At 41.0% G+C, this 20,148-nt stretch overlaps 1 protein-coding gene and 1 long non-coding RNA gene across 8 annotated transcripts in view; one reads left to right on the top strand and one right to left on the bottom strand.

Annotated features, from left to right (window-relative positions):
* The window catches only part of SBF2 (SET binding factor 2), a 526,174-nt gene that overhangs the window by 493,416 nt on the left and 12,610 nt on the right, over nucleotides 1-20,148 (top strand). For 6 of the 7 annotated variants that reach the window (NM_001425069.1, NM_001425070.1, NM_001424318.1 and 3 more), the window contains 3 exons: nucleotides 2,424-2,525; nucleotides 3,241-3,426; nucleotides 15,469-15,595. In NM_001425069.1, coding sequence (NP_001411998.1) covers nucleotides 2,424-2,525; nucleotides 3,241-3,426; nucleotides 15,469-15,595 — 415 coding nt within the window. The remainder of the gene's footprint in view (nucleotides 1-2,423; nucleotides 2,526-3,240; nucleotides 3,427-15,468; nucleotides 15,596-20,148) is intronic. The other variant, XM_047427657.1, reaches the window with a different exon arrangement.
* Nucleotides 107-20,148, bottom strand: part of SBF2-AS1 (SBF2 antisense RNA 1) — a 53,027-nt gene continuing 32,985 nt past the window's right edge. Inside the window, exons 2-3 of the long non-coding RNA NR_036485.1 lie at nucleotides 2,142-3,578; nucleotides 107-1,166 (exon numbers count right to left, since the gene is read on the bottom strand). This is a non-coding gene — a long non-coding RNA (SBF2 antisense RNA 1). The remainder of the gene's footprint in view (nucleotides 1,167-2,141; nucleotides 3,579-20,148) is intronic.

Raw genomic sequence — 20,148 nt, 5'->3', positions numbered from 1 at the left:
CTAAAGACAGTGGAAAATAATTGCCCACTTGGGATATTGACATCTTAAAAGTTAACTCTTAAAGCAAATTCTTTTTTTAACTTTTATTTTGTGTTCAGGGGTACATATGTAGGTTTGTTGTATAGGTACATTGCATATCTTGGGAGTTTGGTGTACAGATTATTTCATCACCCAGGTAATAAGCATAGTACCTGATAGGTAGTTTTTCTATCCTCACCCTCCTCTCACCTCCAACCTCAAATACGCCCCAGGCGTCTATTCCTTTCTTTGTGTCCATGTGTACTCAATGTTTAGCTCCCACTTATAAGTGAGAATATGCAGTATTTGGTTTTCCATTCCTGTGTTAGTTTGCTTCAGCTGTGTTACTGCAAAGGACATAAGCTCATTCTTTTTATGGCTGTGTAGTATTCCATGGTGTATATGTACCATATTTTCTTTATCCAGTCTACCGTTGATGGGCATATAGGTTGACTCCATGTCTTTGCTATTGTGAATAGTACAGCACTGAACATGTGTGTGCATGTGACTTTATGGTAGAACAATTTATATTCCTTTGGGTATATACTCAGTAATGGGATTGCTAGGTCAAATGGTAATTCTGTTTTAAGTTATTTGAGAAATCACCAAACTACTTTCTACAATGGCTGAACTAATTTACATTCCCACCAGAAATGTATATACATTCCCTTTTCTCCACAGGCTCGCCAGCATCTGTTATTTTTTGACTTTTTAATAATAGCCATTTCTTAGAACAAATTCTGAGCCCAAAAGAATTCAGGCCTGGTGATAGCTATGTTGTAGAAACAGTTACATGAGGAGCTTCTCATTACTGAGTAGGGCATTTGCCTTATTCCTGTGTTTAAAGTAGCCTAGCTCTGTTTAAGAGATGGGTTTTTTCATTTTTGTTCTTGTTCAGAGTTGGATTCAAATTGCAAATTATGTCTGATGATCATTAAAATATTTTTTAAAATTACAATGTTATACATCTGGTTTTAAAATCTATATACTATTCTCATACCTTAATTGTTTATTAAGGACTTTGAGCCAATTGATGTGGCTTTAAAAACTTAGCACAAATATATTGAAAGTTTTTTTCTCATTTAGTACACAGTATAGACAAATAGGAGTATCTTTTTTATTTTTATTTTTCGAGACAGGGTCTTGCTCTGTCACCCAGGCTAGAGTGCAGTGGCACAATCACAGCTCACTGCAGCCTCGATCTCCCAGGTTCAAGCGATCCTCCTACCTCAGCCTCCTGAGTAGCTGGGATTACAGGCAGATGCCACCACGCCTGGCTGGTTTTTGTATGTTTTGTAGAGATGGGGTTTTGCCATGTTGCCCAGGTGGTCTCAAACTCCTGAGCTCAAGCACTACTCCTGCTTCAACCTCCCAAAGTGCTGGGATTACAGGCGTTGAGCCACCACACCCAGCCAGGAGTTTCTTTTTTAACATATAATTCACTTACCATAAAATTTATCCTTATGATAAAGGTGCACAACTCAACGCTTTTTGGTATGTCCACAACATTGTGTAACTATCACCACTATCTAATTCCCAAAAAATTAAGAATACCTGAAATAGGCCAGGCGTGGTGGTTCACGCCTGTAATGCTAGCACTTTGGGAGGCTGAGGCAGGTGGATTACCTGAGGTCAGGAGTTCAAGACTAGCCTGGCCAACATGGTGAAACCTCGTCTCTACTAAAAATACAAAAAATTAGCCGGGTGCACTGGTATGCACCTGTAATCCAAGCTACTCGGGAGGCTGAGGCAGGAGAATCGCTTGAACCCGGGGGGCAGAGGTTGTGGTTAGCCAGGATTGCATCACTGCACTCCAGCCTGGGTGACAGAGCGAGACTTTGTCTCAAAAAAAAAAAAAAAAAATGTCTGAAACAAAACTTACTACATCATGGAAAAACAAATTTTAAATCCAATAAAATTCATCTGAATTTCCGTCTTTTGTTGGGAAGTCCACATAGAATCTCTGTTTTTTGTACTCTATGGAATTATAGCTCACCTACTTTTGGGGGAATCATGTAAGGTAATTTTATTTCATTATGTATTACTAGAATGTATTGTTTTAAAATGTGTCTACTTTTTTGAAGTGTCATTTTGTTGTTGTTTTCATTGAGATGGGGTCTTACTATGTTGCCCAGGCTGGTCTCGAACTCCGAACCTCAAATGACCTGCCCGGCTCGGCCTCCCAAAGTGCTGGGATTATGGGCATGAGTCATTGCATCCAGTCAAAAGTGTCATTGTTTAATCTTGATTTGAAAGAACTTTAGGTATTTAAAACATTATGTGGTTCTTTTGTGCAAGCGCTTTATCCCTAAGTCGTTTGATTATCCAGGGTTGAAAGCAACTCTCTCTGACTTCTGCACTCAGAAAGCGCTTGGTCTAATTGTGTTCTCCTTCCTGTCTCTTAGCTTCACAGGATAATGCAGCTGGCTGTGGTTGTATCAGAAGTACTTGAGAATGGTTCCTCAGTTTTGGTCTGTTTGGAGGAAGGCTGGGACATCACTGCACAAGTAAACTATTAGACATATTTTTTGATATTTTATATTTATATTTCCATTTGGTCATTTTTAAATTCTTCAGATGACTCTTTTGTATAATGACTAATGTGTTTATGGACAGAGAAAGTCCTGTGTTAAACAGCACCTGGTATCCATCAGAAAACTCCGTACCATGAGCTCTTAGCCCCTACGCAGCCTGGAGCTCTGGCTCCGGGCATCAAGCTCTCCCATCCACAGATGTACCATGCAGGCTTGCGGATGGAGCCCTTGACCAGCAGTGTGAGGCGTGGACCATCCTTCCTGGGTTTTGTCAGTCCATCCCCTGGCTCTCTATAAGCCCCGCCTTAACTCACTCCAGAGTGAAAAGTGTGAGTTCAGACTACATTAAGACATTAATCTGCATCTGCCAAAAAGTAGAATTGATTTTAACTGATCCTCTGGCCTCTGATTAACTTAGGAAAAGGTTGCTGTCAGCAAACTGGCCAGTTAAGGATTAAAGTCTCAATTCCCTGAAAGTAAACTTGTAGCCAAAATGAATTTGAGCTTTAGTTTTTACTGGCAAGTTTACAAAATTAATTTTATTGGCCATCCTGGAATGGTTAGTGAACAAATTTGCTGTCCAGGTAAATTTGTGAATTAGCTATCATCAGAAGGAAGTGCTTTTATCTTAGTAATAGGCCTTTTTCAGAACTAAAATTAATGACAATCCATCCTGCTTATGCCCTAGGTGACATCCCTGGTTCAGTTACTCAGTGATCCCTTTTATAGGACACTTGAAGGCTTCCAGATGTTGGTTGAAAAAGAGTGGCTCTCTTTTGGTCACAAATTCAGTCAGAGGAGCAGCTTGACCCTCAACTGTCAGGGGAGTGGTTTTGCTCCAGTCTTCTTACAGTTCTTAGACTGTGTACACCAGGTAAGTAGAGCAAGCTTGAGTTGACTTGATATGAAGGAAAGAACACAACATACTAGCATTGATGGAGCATTGCGATGGTGTGCCCGGTACCTTCCTGTCATAACTCTGATTAACTCAGCCACAGGACATGCTGAAATCTTAGCAGTAGACTCCTAGGAATGGAAAAGAAAAAAAATTAGTTGGTTTCTGAAACTAGGACAGCTAAGCTGGCTGTTGGGCTTGCCCCAAGTGAAGTAGCCAGCACTCTAAATGACCATCTTCAAAGAAGAGAAGCAAACTTGGGCTTATTACCTAAGAACAAAATCTCTAGGTAATACGGGTCCTGAAATCGAGCACATGGTCTGCCCAGTTTGGGAGGACCCCAGCTTGTGCCTGGGAACATAAGAGGTAAAGCCTAACCCCTGGAGAAATAATCAGGGCCCAGCCAGACAGGCATACAGGCTTGAGAACACTGGTCACTTCTACCACATGGAGAAACTGTGGTACATATATACCATGGAATACTATGCAGCCATACAAAAGAATGAAATCATGTCTTTTGCAATGACATGGATATAGCTGGAGGCCATTATCCTAAGCAAATTGATGCAGAAGCAGAAAACCAAATACCTCATGTTCTCACTTATAAGTGGGAGCCCAGGTATATCCATTCAAATGCAGTGAGGGTAGGGGAGATGTGACTGCTCTAGGCTCCCTCCTGCCTTCATCGCAGGCACATCAGATACAGACCTCTGGATGGGGCCTTGGTCAGGATTGGGTTTGAGAATTGGATGGCACTGAGCTTGCAAGTTGAAGACTGAATTGGCCTAGGAAAAGCAGGCCTATTTCCAGCTTTCATTTGACCACAATCCCAGGGTTGGATGAATGGGTTCTGGCATGTCAAACATTTGTGGGAATGGTGAGCCTCTTTGAAACACACTGGCCTCAAATATCGATTGGAAAGAAAGGCAGAACTATGTTTTCAGGAACCAGAGTTGAAACTAACTGTGATGACACCAAGTTAGTATGTGGTTATGTTTTATTTTGTTTTTATTCTAGTAATCACTTGATCAACTTTCCAGATCACTACATAATTTTTGTAAATAACAGCTTTATTGAACTATATATATCATACAATTCACCTATTTAAAGTGTTCAGTGGTTTTGAATCCATTCACAAAGTTTTGTAACAATTACCACAATCAATTTTAGAGCATTTTATCACTCCAAAAAGAAACTCCATACTCATGAGCAGTGACTTTCCAACCTTTCACCCCACACACAGGAAGCTATGTTTTTTACTGCTCTAATTTACTTATTAAAGACAAGACCGATTGACGAATTTCAATTGATCTGTCCAAGCAGTAACTGGAGGAGCTGGTCACAAGGTTAAGCATGTACCTTTAAACTCTTTGCAGCAAAGAGTATACTATATTTGTTTTCTGTTTGAATATTGGCCCTTTTATTCATACTCCTTTTGGCAAATAGATGAGGGAGAAGTTTGGAGACCATTGTCTCTGAAACAGAAAGCTTACCTGAGGCCAAAGGAGAGGAGCAAGCATCTATCTCTTCTCACTTCTAGGCAGGTGAAAGCATATGAGTTCTTCATGAAAGCACTTCTTATCTTGCTTTTTTATTATGCTTATCAATTGGACTAGACTATTTCCTGCCTCCGTATACCACCATTACTAACAATAATTACTAATTTGTGTCGACTGCTTACTATGTGCCAGGCACTGTTCTGAGCACTACACATGTTATTTTAGTTCATAATTCTTTGAATCTTTTGCTGACCCTCACGCTCCCACTTTATATGTATTTCTAATGAGTCAGGTATAGACTTCTTTGATAACATCTATAGCACTAAAGTATGTTTATTTGTATGTAACTATTGCCCTCTACTTAGTCTGAGAATTCTTGGGAACAGGGACTATGTCATACTAGTCTTCATATCCCTAGTATCTAACACAATTACAGTTTCAGTCTCTGGAATATAATAGACAATAAATAGATAATCTCAATGAATATATGAGAATTTGAAAGACCACAAGTCTTGTTCATGCTCTTACCACCCTTCATCAAGACCATCTAGAATATCCTGGTCGGGCGTGGTGGCTCACGCCTGTAATCCCAGCACTTTGGGAGGCCAAGGTGGGTGGATCACGAGGTAAGAGATCAAAACCATCCTGGCCAACATGGTGAAACCCCATCTCTACTAAAAATACAAAAAATCAGCCAGACGTGGGGGCGCACGCCTGTAGTCCCAGCTACTTGGGAGGCTGAAGCAGGAGAATCGCTTGAACCCGGGAGGCGGAGGTTGCATTGAGCTGAGAAGCCCCCACTGCACTGCAGCCTGGGAGACAGAGCGAGGCTCCGTCTTGGGGGAAAAAAAAAAAATCTAGAATATCCTAAGTAGAATTGCTGGCATAATCTTCCAAAAGCTCAGATACAATCCTTTTATTCCCCTCCACAAAAGTCTTCAAAGCAAACAAACAAAAACCTTCAGTGGCTCCACATTTCCTAAAGAATTACCCTTCCACATATCCGATTTGAATATAACTGGGGGGAACCCAAATGTCTGTCCTACAGTAGGTGAATGGCTACACAATCTGGGATACATCCATACCGTGGACGACTACTCAACAGTAAAAAGGAATTACTGGCACATGCAACACCTTGAAGGGATCTCAAGGACATTATATTGAAAGAAAAAAAAGGCAATCTCAAAGGGTCCAACTGAGTATGATTCCATGTATATAATTTTTTTTTTTTTTTGAGACAGAGTCTCACTCTGTCACCTAGGTTGGAGTGTAGTGGTGTGATCTCGGCTCACTACAACCTCCGCCTCCCAGGCTCACGCAGTCTTCCCACCTTGGCCTCCCAAGTAGCTGGGACCATAGGTGCACACCACCACAGCTGGTTAATTTTTTGTATTTTTGGTAGAGACAGGGTTTTGCCATGTTGTCCAGGCTAGTCTTGAACTCCTGAGCTCAGGTGATCTATCTGCCTTGGCCTTCCAAAGTACTGGGATTACAGGCGTGAGCCACCATGCCCAGCTAATATTTTAAAATGACAAGATCATAAATTATTGGTTGCCAGATTCAAGATAGTGGGGGAGAAGGAAATGAGTGTGACTATAAAGGGGTAGCATGAAAAACAAACCAAATGTCCATCAACCGATGAAGAGATGAACAAATTCTGGCATATTAATTCAGTGGAATACCACTCAGCACACAAAGGGAATGAAATATTTATATTACAAAGACTGACCAATCTTGTGATCACTATGTTCAGTGAAAGAAGCCAGGCAGAAAAGACTACTACATAAGTTTATTTATATGACATTCTAAAAAGGGCAAAACCATAGTGACTGAAAGCAGATCAGTGACTGCCTGGGACCAGTGACCAAGGGAGGGGATCAATCATCATGCAAAGGGCATAAGCAAACTTTTCAGCGTCAGGAAACTGTTCTGTATCATGATTGTGGTGATGGTTACACAACTGTGTACAGTGACCAAAACTAATAAAACTATACACTTAAAGTAGGGAAATTTTATTTTTAAATAACACTTCAATAAATCTGGAGGAAAAAATAATAATCTTTAATTAGTAAGTCCAACATCTCAGTAAACTAGAGTTCCAGAGAAAGAAAACAGCAGCTACCTTGTTTCTACGGAGAAGAATTTGTCTGGGGCCCAGAAAGTACTTGTAGGTCTGGCTGCTTGCTTTATGGAAACAGGGCAGGAAATAGGTCCAGGGAAATCCCAGTTCAGTAATGCAGGCTTTTCGTTTTTTCCATGCTATTTTCAGTGTTTCCACTAACCCAGTTGTGTCTGGTGTTCCCAAGTCTAGAGCTTATCAGGTTTGTTTTTTTGTTTGTTTGTTTTTCAGAAAATAAACCTCCGATCTGTTGCTCTGAAAAGGGTAATCATATGACTACATGGGGTGGGAAAGGACCTGGGGTCCTTTCCTGCCTCCATAGACTTCCAGCTAGTCCCACGATAGCCTCCATTTCACCCCTGCATTACTCAATACTTGGGCCTCTGTGCCCTGAGCCTTTCTGGGTTTACACAGCAAATCGTTACCTTCTCAAATCATTTTCCTCCTGGCAGGAATCCCAGTATAGCTTCTCCTCTTCTATCATTTACTGCTATTCTTCCTTCTATTTTCCATCTTTCAAAAATTTGCTGAATTGCTTTGGCCCAGTGCTGTGTTTCCTCCCATTCTCCCCACTCCCTTTTGGGTTTTTTACCTCTTAAAAATTCCTTTAATGTGGGAGGATTCCAGGGGAATGAGCTTGTACAGCCAAATCTGGCTTAAGTTAAATGGACTACTTAATATGTTAAATCTCTATGTTCAACTTGCAGAATTCTGCACACCTAAACATTAGGGTCAGCGAAATAATCCACTCACAATCAGTAAGAGATAGGAGGTTCTCATGTAAGATACACTGTCCTCAAAGATGGGAACATCATTGTCTCCCAAGTACAATAATCCTTACTTGGAATGAAATTCTTCTATTTTATTATTGGGGATGGGGCTGGGGGGGAGGAGTGGGAGAGGTCTAGATGCTGGAAGGTAACCTGTATTCTGTGAGTACCCCTTAAGTGGTATGATTAAAGCAATTTAACATACACTAAGATGTAGCATAACTTACATTCCTATTATCTTTAGAATACAATAGATGCTAAAACTACAAAAGGCTAAGTTAATTAAAACAATTTGGGGTATATGCTTAATTTCTGCTGTTTTGTTTTATTTACTAATCAGCTGAATTTAAGATTCATCTGTTTTTTTTTTCAAGTAAAGAGTTAAAATTCAAATGTTTTATATAAACCAGTTGATTCTGAAATCAAAAACAGAAGTTAACTTTTAATTAAAGTTCGATTATTTGTAGGTGAATGCTTCACAAACTGTAAAAAGTAATATTGTTCAGGATCTAGAGACCCTATCAGTATGACTTCAAATCTGGCTGTGCCAAATTAAAATTTTTTAAATTAAAACATAAATTTTTAAGAATTTGCCTGAATCCTCCTTTCACTTAATACCTCATACATAATAACCTAAGTGCAGACAAGTCATAGCAAAGCAAGCATATGACCTTAATTGCAGTAAGTAAAGCATGCTTGGCTACCAGAGGTATCAGCTTTGGTGATGCAAATTATTTTGTGCTGAAAAGGGATTGTTTATTCACTCAAAAACAGAGGAATCTAAGAAGACTATAGTTAGCAAATAGTTTTTCTGACTCTTGCTGACTTAATTATAAGGTAGTGTTTCATCATCTTCGACATACTGGTTTTAGGCATTAGAAAATGCCTTCTTTGAATGCCTTTCAAGTGAACACTAGTGCTTTACATGACTCTGGCTTTTACCAGATAATTCGAATTAGTGCTGCCCTCAGTCTCTCAGGGACACACAACAGAACTAGGCCCAGAAACATCAAAAAAACAGGTTCAAAATTACACAGCAGCAAGTGAAGCTTTCCCAGATGGAATGTGTTCCCTGCTTATTAACCATTTCTAACATTGAATGCCAAAAGGCAGTCCATGGACATATGCCTAGGCTTGTCCATTAGTACTAATAAAGTTACAAGAAAACAGATGAAGCACTGAACTTAAATTAGAACTGCCTCATCATATAAAAAGCCATTGTTTACGCCAGTATATCCAGGTGTCAAATGAATTATAAATGCTAGCTCACTGTTTCATAATAGCAACATCTGGCAGATTTTTTGCTTCTAAAAGAAATTGGCTTAGCTCAAATGATATCATTACAGGACTCCCTTTTCTTAAAATAGTTGAGCCAAATTAAAAAAAATCCAATATACAAAGATTAAATTTTTATGTAAACTTTCTTTTTAAAATATAATATCAGGAGAAAACATGAATAGTATGAATGAAAACGTGAAGAAAGCATCCCCTTTATTTCGGCATTAGAGTAAATCTTTGAGGGCATCTTAGAACTTTTTCAGTATTTTTTACTGTGATTTCAAAGTTTATTCAAATTGTAAATTGATTCACTTTGGTCTGGCTTTATGTGATTCTCCTCATGGTTACCTTATGACAGCACTATGCTAGGTCCTACCCCAAAGAAAAAAGCTATTTGCCTTTTGAAGATATGAGCCTTCCTTGTGAGCACATATGTGAGCAGCTAAGCTGCCCCCACACAGGTTGGTTATTCTAAAATTTATCCAGTAATATTGGCAAAATAGCTGTAGCTAATGGATTGTTGGTATATTCAAGAGTTTCTGCTGTCTGCTGCCTATTCAACTGCAAACTGGCAAAAATGAACATAATCCAATCTGTTTTATAACAAGGCAATTTTGCATCAAAGCTTAATATTTAAGGCCATGTAATATGGAAGGATGTAACACAAAGCACACAATGTTTGTTAAATCTTAATTTGTGAAATAACAAAAATTAATATTAGCTATACACTCTCCTAGGGTCTGTTTAACCATATCCAGGTTTTCACGTGTTGATGTATAGTGTCTCTTGTAGCTCAATATTTATAATTCTGAAAGCAGAATCCAGTTTTAATGTATTAAACTTTACTTCCAAAATGTTGATCTTTCCAGGGGTTTGAGTCATAGCTTATTTTTATAGGCCTTTAAATTTTACAAAGTACTTAATGGCACATGGGCAAAAAAAAAGACCCTATAAATTCATGTTTCTCCAAATTCCATTTCAGATTCTCTTCTTATAAATAAGTGAAGTTGGCAAGTTTCACTCCATAACGGAAAAACAAAACTAAAATGCTTCATGCAGTTTAGTCTTTTAAGTCTGTATACTTTTTAACCTGCAACAAAATAAATACAAAATTATTTTGAACAACAAAATCCAGATGATACCTGAGAGAAGCCTAAAACTCTATTCATCACCATACTTAGGGAAATGCTGACATAGAATTAATTTATTAGCTGAAATACCTATCATTCCCAATTCTACATAATATAATAAGGCTAAATTTATTTGAAGCACACTTGCCTTTAGGTCCCCAAAATCTTGTGGCCAACAATAAAGAAAACTAATGAAACCAAAAGCTGTTCTTTGAGAATATCAATAAAATTGATAAACCTCTAGCTAGACTGCTTGAGAAAAAAAAGACACATATTACCAATATAAGAAATGAGAAAGATGACGTCACTACAGATTCTACAAATATTACAAGGCTGATCCTGGGTATGGTGGCTGAAGCCTATAATCCCAGCATTTTGGGAGGCCAAGGTGGGTTCACTTGAGCCCAGGAGTTCAAGACCAGCCTGGGCAACACAGCAAGACCCCACCTCTAAAAAACATAATAAATACTTTTTTTGGCCAGGCACGGTGGCTCACGCCTGTAATCCCAGCACTTTGGGAAGCCGAGACAGGCAGATCACGAGGTCAGGAGATAGAGACCATCCTGGCTAACACAGTGAAACCCCTTCTCTACTAAAAATACAAAAAAATTAGCTGGGCGTGGTGGCAGGCGCCTGTAGTCCCAGCTACTCGGGAGGCTGAGGCAGGAGAATGGCATGAACCCGGGAGGTGGAGCTTGCAGTGAGCCGAGACTGCGCCACTGCACTCCAGCCTGGGCAACAGAGCGAGACTCCATCTCAAAAAAATAATAATAATTTAAATAAATAAATAAATACTTTTTAAAAATCCCTGTTAAGCAAATGAAAAGACCAATCACACAGTGGGAGAAAATATGTGTAAACCATATATTTGCTGAAGGATTTATCTAGAACACATAAAGAAACCTTAAAATTCAATAATAAGAAAACAACCTTTTTTTTTTCCTTTAGGATGGAATCTTGCTCCTTCCCTGAGGCTGGAGTGCAGTGGCAAAATCTTGGCTCACTGCAACCCTGCCTCCCAGGTTCAAGCAATCCTTTCGCCTCAGCCTCCCTAATAGCTCAGATTACAAGTGTGCACAACCACGCCCAGCTAATTTTTGTATTTTTAGCAGAAATGGTGTTTCACCATATTGGCCAGGCTGGTCACAAATTCCTGACCTCAAGTGATCCACCCATCTCAGCCTCTCAAAGTGCTGGAATTATAGGCATGAGCCACTATGCCCGGCCAACAGCTTATTTTTGAAATGGGCAAAACATTTGTACTGATTTCACCAAAGATATGCAAATAAGCACATGAAAAGTTGACATCATTCTTCATTAGAAAATGCAAATTAAAATCACAAGAGTCTAGGTGAGTTCCATTTGCAAAGAGGAAAAGAAGCCAGTGAACTGGACAAACTGAGTCACTGGGGTGCAGGACTCAATGGAGAAAGTATGATTTTTCTTGCTTCCTAGAAATCTAAGCACCGTAAGAGTTCAGCCATCTCATCATTTCTTCTTACATGATGGAAGAAAGACATCTCAGAAAATTCCTTATGTTTCTTAATGTCGGATTCTAAACGTGGTATCTAGGTACTAATCAACCCAGGCTTGAGGTCTATCTGACTTTTCTTTTTCCACCAAAGAAATGTTTACATGCTTGTTACTTTATTGCTGAAGAGTAAAAAACAAATTGCTCTGCATCTTCTCTTCCACTTCCAGTAGACCTGATCGTTAACCCCAGTTTGGGGGAGGTTTGTTTTTCAACCCCAGTTAGCGACTGCAGGTGCTCCTGTGGCACACAGGAGGACACATGCATAGTGCCCCCAAGCGTATACACCTTGATGCTTTCTCCAAGCACCAATTCCAGTCCCAGTGGAGTGGGTACAAGAGGCCTTGGAAAATTGTCTAACCTTTCTAGCATAACTGTAGAGGGCTTGTGGTGAGGCCAATATACTGGGCTACGAAAGCATTTTTTGACTTGTAAAGACGTTTCACTTTTAATCTGAGCACATGATCTCCCTGAAATGCCTGTAAGTTCAACTTAAGATCATATTTCCATTCTACTGTTACCTCAGAAGTGGGTCTTCAAAATTGTATTCCTGAGTAGATTAAATGTCAGAATCATCAAGAAAAGATACAAGTATGTATGAGGTATCTGGTTTCTATGAAGAATAGTCATTGAGAGAAATGTTATTTTGAGGCTTTAATACAGTTTTTTGTTTGTTTGTTTTTTGGTTTTTTTTTTTTTTGAGACGGAGTCTTGCTCTGTTGCCCAGGCTGGAGTGCGGTGGCGCGATCTCGGCTCACTGCAAGCTCCGCCTCCCAGTTTCATGCCATTCTCTTGCCTCAGCCTCCCGAGTAGCTGGGACTACAGGCGCCCGCCACCACGCCCAGCTAAAATTTTGTTTTTGTATTTTTAGTAGAGACAGGGTTTCACCATGTTAACCAGGATGGTCTCAATCTCCTGACCTCATGATCCACCCGCCTCGGCCTCCCAAAGTGTTGGGATTACAGGCGTGAGCCACCACGCCTGGCCCTTGAGGCTTTAATAAAGATTTTTAAAAGAAATTTTAGAACATATTGTAGACTGGTTCAGTGGAAAGAACTCTTCCTCCCTTGGAAACAGTGAGTGAGGGGCTGGCCTGTGACTACTGAAGGTTTATCCCAAGGGCTGTTGGGGCAGTTGTCCTTGGAGCTCACCCTGCCTGAGCACACTGCAGATTTCTCATCCCCAGGATTCAGATGGTAGGGAACCAAGTTCCATCCTTAGTTGCCCTGTCCCCTTCTTCTGTCCCAGCATCCACAATCTGAGTAACCCCCCTCTCCATCACTGGCTCCTTGGGGTGGGGCTGTTGATTCCAAAGCAACAGCTCAGACTGGAGAGCTCTGTATGGCATTACAGGACAGGTTGAGGGGGAAACTTGAGGTCTGAGCAATGCTTAAGAAAGGAGCCAGGAAGACCAGAGAACCAGGCCTACTAGAGAGTCAAACCCAGGGCCTTCTTTGCTGTGCATAAGTATCAGTAGAGGCAAGCGTTTGAATGAGAATTGCTGTATTAAGGGACATGGTTGACTACTGAGACACACATAGAGGGCTAACAAAACAAGGAAATAAAAGATTTTTTAATATTGATCCTTAATTATGTGTCACATCTGCTTGTTTTATTATAATTATAAACTCCTCAAGTTGAGCCTTTATCATTTATTCATTCATTCATTCATTCATTCAGAGACAGGGTCTCACTCTGTCACCCAGGCTGGAGTACAGTGGCACAATTGTGGCTCCACTGCAGCTTCGAACTCCTGGACACAAGCGATCCTCCTCCTCAGCCTCCTGAGTAGCTGGGGCTACAGGCACGTGCCACCACACCTGGCTAATTGTTTGTTTTAATTTTTGTAGAGAAAAGGTCTCACTATGTTGCCCAGGTTGGTCTCAAACTCCTGGCCTCGAGATCCTTCCACCTTGGTCCCCCAAAGGTGCTGGGATTACAGGCGTGAGCCACCACGCCCAGCCAGTTTTTATAATTAGTTGCTTGTATTGCATGATCATAGGAAACCCATGATTTCTTATCCCTTCATTTTCACTGATGAGAAAACTCTACGTAATACAAATGCTTACAGTTCTACAAACCTGGAGTATGGCACGCTACCTAGCTATTCAGAGCCATGTCCCATGGAAAGCTCTGCTGTCCTGTGGAGATCTGATGCAACAGGAAGGCATTGGCTCACATCAAGGAAGCAGTTCCGTGGTTTGCAGGCCCACTGCATAGGAGTCAAACTCTTTTTTAATGCATCTTCCTAAAATCCATTTTATTTTACATTACTTACAAGCTAAAATTTTACTTCAATTCAAAAGCCAGTAAGAAAATGTAGAAAACCCTTTAATGATCACAGAAAACCAGGTTCCTAACCAGATGATAAATTTTGATAAATCAATGATATCCAGATCACGACTTTAAATTCCCATTGGTCCACTGGACAATCAACATTATCACACACATGCCTGCTCACTTTGGCTGACCCAGCTGACTAAGTACAGGTCCGTATTGCCAAATTAAACATGGAGGAGAACGCTGACTTTTAGACAGCTTGCCTAAATTTAGTGTTAATTTGAACCAGCTTTTGAGCAAGTACAATTATGATTGGAACTTACTTCAGCCAAACAAAATTTTCTAGCTGGTCATGAGAGATTGTTTGAGCAATATAGAGGTGAGATTGCGAGGCAGACTAGGGAGTGTCACAGGGTCATCAGCCTACCCTCTGCCAATGTAAGATGGCTCCACAGTCTGTATACGGTTTGCCTAAAGCATGCTATAGCTCAATGACCATTCCAAGCTTTGCCCAGCCTTCTGCCTCCCATGTCATTCACTCATTCCTATTCCTGTGCCCAATGACCTCACTGCCTAATTTACTGATGAAAAATTAGGGCTAAAAGGCATTAGCTCCTGCCCTTTCCCTTGGCACTTGAACTATCTTTCTCTTGCTTACCTTTCATCCCTCCCTGTTTCCAAAGCTGTTCCCTAAATCTAGGCCCGAGCCTCATTCATTCTTGCTTTCCCAGGATCTTATTCTCTTAGTTATTAGCTAACAAATTTTTCTAAAATTTGTTTTCTCTACTGGCTCCTTCTGGATTGCCTTCAGACACACACACATTTCTTTTGACCAGAAAACATCTCTTGCTGTCCCCTTAAGCAGCCACCTTCTCTTCTCAATCCTTTTCATTGCCAAACTTCTGTAAGAACAATTTTTCTTGTTGTATGTCACACTATTACACCACAGTTGCCTGGAAAGCAAGAACCATAACTTATGTTAATATATATCTATCAATTGCCAAACACAGTATAATGTAGTGAGTGGGGTAGAGACTTTGGAGCCTAATAAGCCAGGGTTAAATTTGGGCTCACTAACTACTGTTTAATGTCATTGGGTAAATGTCTTAATCTTGCTGATCCTATGCTTTCTCAATTGTAAAGTGGAGATAATAATGCCTCTCTTGCTATACCGTAGAGATTAAATGAGATTATGTTTATTTAAAAAAAAAAAACCCTCGTCTGGTGTCTGGCACACAGTAGGTGCTCGGAAAAGCTGGTTCCCTTCCCATCTCTACTTATGGTAGGGATTCAGGTATTTGTTGAGTGAATGACTGAATGGTCTCCTGCATGTTTCAGTTAAGCCTTCAGTGGCCTGGCATCCACTTTTTGTTCTGTTTGATTCTTACTCTTTTCTTTGCCTTGTGTGTTTCAGGTTCACAACCAGTATCCAACTGAGTTTGAATTCAATCTCTATTACTTAAAGTTCTTGGCTTTCCACTATGTGTCTAATCGCTTTAAAACATTTCTCCTGGATTCAGACTATGAAAGATTAGAGCACGGTATGTGTCTGTATGCCCTTGTTTCATCTTTTTTGTTAGTTCTGCATGTTTTTAATGAAAATTCTAATAATGTAACTATCCCCAAGACTGACAAGCTGAGTTAAGGTTTAACTCTGAACTATGAATGTAGAGGAGTGGATAAGTGGCCAAATTCTGAAATTACGTGCCACGTTAGCTCTTAGCAGGTGGTCATTCCTATAGCATCTTTCTAAAATTAAATATGTTTACTATTTTGATACCTCAAAGTGATCACACTGTTTGAGAAGAAACATTTGACTCCTAGTTTTTCCAACCCTGATGCACTCTGGTAGGAAGGGTGCCTGCCCTTGGAGGCAGCTTGAATACAGCTAAGACCCTGTGCTCTAGACGAAACAGACCAGGGTAAAATCCCAGCATTGCCAGTTACCAACTGAGTATTTTGGGGAGGGGTTAAGTACCTCTCTGAGCCTCAGTTTCCTCATCTTTAAAACAAGGACAGTAATACCATCCCACCTGTCAGGGCCATGATGATCACATGAGGAAAAAGTTGTAAACTTCACACAGTCACTTAGCCTCTTAGCCCAATCACTAGCGCATAGTAAGCGCTCAATAAATTTTAGACATCACTCGCATTAGTAATGATAGTGATGAACTATTTTTTTAATAGCAATGATAGTTGTAATGAGTAGATTCTGAAAGTCAGCCCCGGTAAAAACATTTCCCAAGGGAATTTTACATTCTTACTTTTATAACTGTTACGGGGGAGAGGAAACACATGACCATTTTTGTTAAGCAAACGAAAATCAGTTCTGTTCAATATATTATATGCACTCAGTACCACAAAGAGGACTCTTAATTCCAAGAAAATATTTACTGATGTTCTCAGTTTTAAATCTGAAATCAGGAAATACCGCTTTCCAGGGCATCCTATTGAAATTGTCTAGTATGATACTGCATACTTTTGATAAGGGAAAGAGCACTGGTGAGACCATTTTCCACCCTGTTTATACTTCCAGACCTTTGTTGGCTCATGGAATTGTTATTCTTCACATCACAATCAGAAACCTTAATTTCTTAAGCATCTGCATACTGCTTATTGGGAAGGTAGTAAGTATAACTGGTTACAACTGCCCCAGGCCTGGTCTTTTTTTTTTTTTTTTTTTTTTTTTTTTTTTGAGACGGAGTCCCACTCACTGTATCACTCTGTCTCCAAGGCTGGAGTGCATTGGTGCGATCTTGGCTCACTGCAACCTCTATTTCCCAGGTTCAGGCAATTCTCCTGCCTCAGCCTCCCTAGTAGCTGGGATTAGAGGCCTGTGCCACCATGCCTGGCTAATTTTTGTATTTTTAGTAGAGACAAGGTTTCACCATGTTGGCCAGGCTGGTCTTGCACTCCTGGCCTCAAGCAGTCTGCCTCCCAAAGTGCTGGGATTACAGGCGTGAGCCACCACGCCTGGCCAGGCCTGGTCTTAAGTGGACTGACCTGTACCTACAGGGGTCACCATGTCACTCAGCTTTATCACTGAAAGGAACAACATGTACAAATATTGGGAGTAAAACGCAGGTATTTGCCTCCTTGGAGTAGTTGTGTTTTTTGGGGTTTTTTTGGTTTGTTTTTTTGTTTCGTGGGCAGGGGGGCAGTGGTATTTTGTTTTGTTTTGTTTTGTTTTTGAGGCAGGGTCTCCTCTGTCTCCCCGGCTGGAGTGCGGTGGCAGGATCTCGGCTCACTGCAACCTCTGCCACTGGGACTCAAGCGATATCCCACCTCAGCCTCCTGAGTAGCTGGGACCACAGGCATGTGCCCCCATGCCCACATAATTTTTGTACTTTTTGTAGACATAGGGTTCTGCCATCTTGCCCAGGCTAAGTTTTTGGTTTTTTAATAAAGCAGTTTGTTTTGCTGAATTAAGCTGATCAGCAAATTACCTTAGCAGCATGCAGATGTGGCCAAAGACCAAGGCTTCTCCTATAGCAGATGATGGTTCTCTTCATTAGAGAAGCAACAAGGTCTAGTGCAGTGGTTCTCAGACTTGACTGAACATTAGAATCACCTGGGGAGCTTTTAAAACTTCCAAGGTCCAGGCAACATCCCCAACCACTTAAATCAGAATCTGTGATGGTAAGGCCCAGGCATCAACAGCTTTTAAAACTCCCCAGGTAAGGCCAGGCACGGTGGTTCACGCCTGTAATCCCAGCACTTTGAGGAGGCCAAGGTGGGTGAATTGCTTGAGGCCAGGAATTCGAGACCAGTCTGGCCAACACGGCGAAACCCCATCTCTACTAAAAATACAAACATTAGCCAGGCGTGGTGGCATGTGCCTGTAATCCCAGCTATTTGGGAGGCTGAAGCACGAGAACTTCTTGACCCCATGAGGCAGAGGTTGCAGTGAGCTGAGATCGCACCAGTGCACTCCAGCCTGGGTGACAGAGTGAGACCCTGTCTCAAAAATAAAGAATAAAAAATAAAAACTCCCCAGGTGAGCCCATTATGCTGCCAAGTCTGAGACCCACCACTGGTCCCACGGGTAGAGCCGTAGATCAAGGATCAGAAAATGTCAGTAACTTTGGGTAAATTACTTCATCTCTGAGTCTCAGTTTTCTCATCTGAAAAACTAAACAGCCCTGCCTATCACACAGGGCTGTTGAAAAGATTAAATACAATGATGCGGATAAAAAGATATGTTTGGTATATATTGAAAGATTATCATGATTATTTGAAAATATAAGCATTTCCATCCTATGAAACATGTTTCCTCTTAAAACTCATAAACACAGGCTGGGTGCAACGGCTCACACCTATAATCCTAGCACTTTGAGAGGCTGAGGTGGGCGGCTTGCTTGAGCCCCAGGAGTTCAAGACCAGCCTGGGCAACATGACAAAACCCCATCTCTACAAAAAAAAAAAAAAAAAACACACACACACACACACAAATTAGCTGGGTGTGGTGGCGCACTCCTGTAGTTGCAGCTGTTCAGGAGGCTGCGGTGGGAGGATCACTTGAGCCCAGGAGGTCAAGGCTGCAGTGAGCCGAGATCACACCACTGCACTCCAGCCTGGGTGACAGGGTTGAGACCCTGTCTCAAAAACAACAACACATAAACATGCATTTCGAATCCTAGAATGTCATTGCCGAAGCCTCAGTAGAAATCATCTACCCAGCCTCCTCTCTGGATGTTAGGCCACCCACCTAATCAACATCAAGGAAGCCTAGTTTCGTGTCCCTAGTCCAGACTAGGTTGCCTACTTGAAGTCTGTTCCTTCTTGTGTTCTGGTAGATGCACTCGTTATCAGGCCTACAGTGAAACCTTGTTTAGGAACACCTGTGGTAACTACCCTCTATCTGCCAAAATGACGAAGTGGAGAGTAAGTAATCTCAACCACTGCTGGTAGAATTCATCAGTCATAATTTTTTTTTTTTTTTGAGATGGAGTCTCACACTGTCGCCAGGCTGGAGTGCAGTGGCACGATCTCAGCTCACTGCAACCTCCACCTCCTGGGTTCAAGTGATTCTCCTGCCTCAGCCTCCCGAGTAGCTGGGATTACAGGTGCCCGCCACCACACCCAGCTGATTTTTGTATCTTTAGTAGAGATGGGGTTTCACCATGTTGGCAGGCTGGTCTCAAACTCCTGACCTCAAGTGATCCGCCCACGTCAGCCTCCCAAAGTGCTGGGATTACAGATGTGAGCCACCGCACCACGCTGAGTCATAATTTTTAAGATTTTATCAGAAAAACTTAAACACAATGAATTCTCCTGTGTCCTAAAAGCTTAATATGTTGATTATTACATACTGGATTATAGGGTTATAATTTGATAGGATTTGGCACTAGCTGTCTGATTTGGACTGTTTTTAAGATGTTCCTTATATGTGTACATGTTGCCCTAAGCCAGCCATATGGATACTGTAAGAAAAGTCCATTGGACTTGGTTCCAATTACAAGATGTTACAACAGCCCTAAGGAACAGAGGGCCATGTATTGCATCTCCTCTTCTGGTTTCAGCTCATTCTCTTTCTGTCTACAAAGGTGCCTAGAGCCTATTTCAACTTGGGCTGACTACCACACAGCCTTTCAGTCTAATCCATGCCTCAAGGCGCCAAATGGAGCAATATACAAGGTGGCTTTCAAAATCTTACTGCAACCCCTAGAGCATTTGCAACTTTGGACATTGGAGTTACTTGAACTTTTAAAATAACTAATATCTCGGGCCATCCCCAGAGATTCTGATTTAATTGGTCTGAGGTGAGACCTGGACACTGGGATTTTTTTAAAGCCCTTGGTTTTTTAAATCCATGTCCAAGGTTGAGAACTACTGCACTGGACCCTGCAGTTAAAAGGTAGAGAAGAAACTGTTAATTAGTCTTAGGGGCCCCACATATTATAGAATTTCATGCCATCTTGGGCTTGAGTCTTTTTTTTTTTTTTTTTTTGATAAACTGGTAAAATGCATGTTGATTTTGACTATGTCACTTCATTCCAAGCAAGACACCACTGCTGAGACACCCTTCATGGCCTTTTAAAGAACTACTTTTTGCCTCACCCCAACACATTTTCCTCCCTATTAAAAACAAAGT

This window comes from Homo sapiens, chromosome 11, assembly GCF_000001405.40.
Source record: "Homo sapiens chromosome 11, GRCh38.p14 Primary Assembly".
NCBI classification, from domain to species: Eukaryota; Metazoa; Chordata; class Mammalia; order Primates; family Hominidae; genus Homo; species Homo sapiens.
This window is presented reverse-complemented; position numbering and strand designations above follow the sequence as displayed.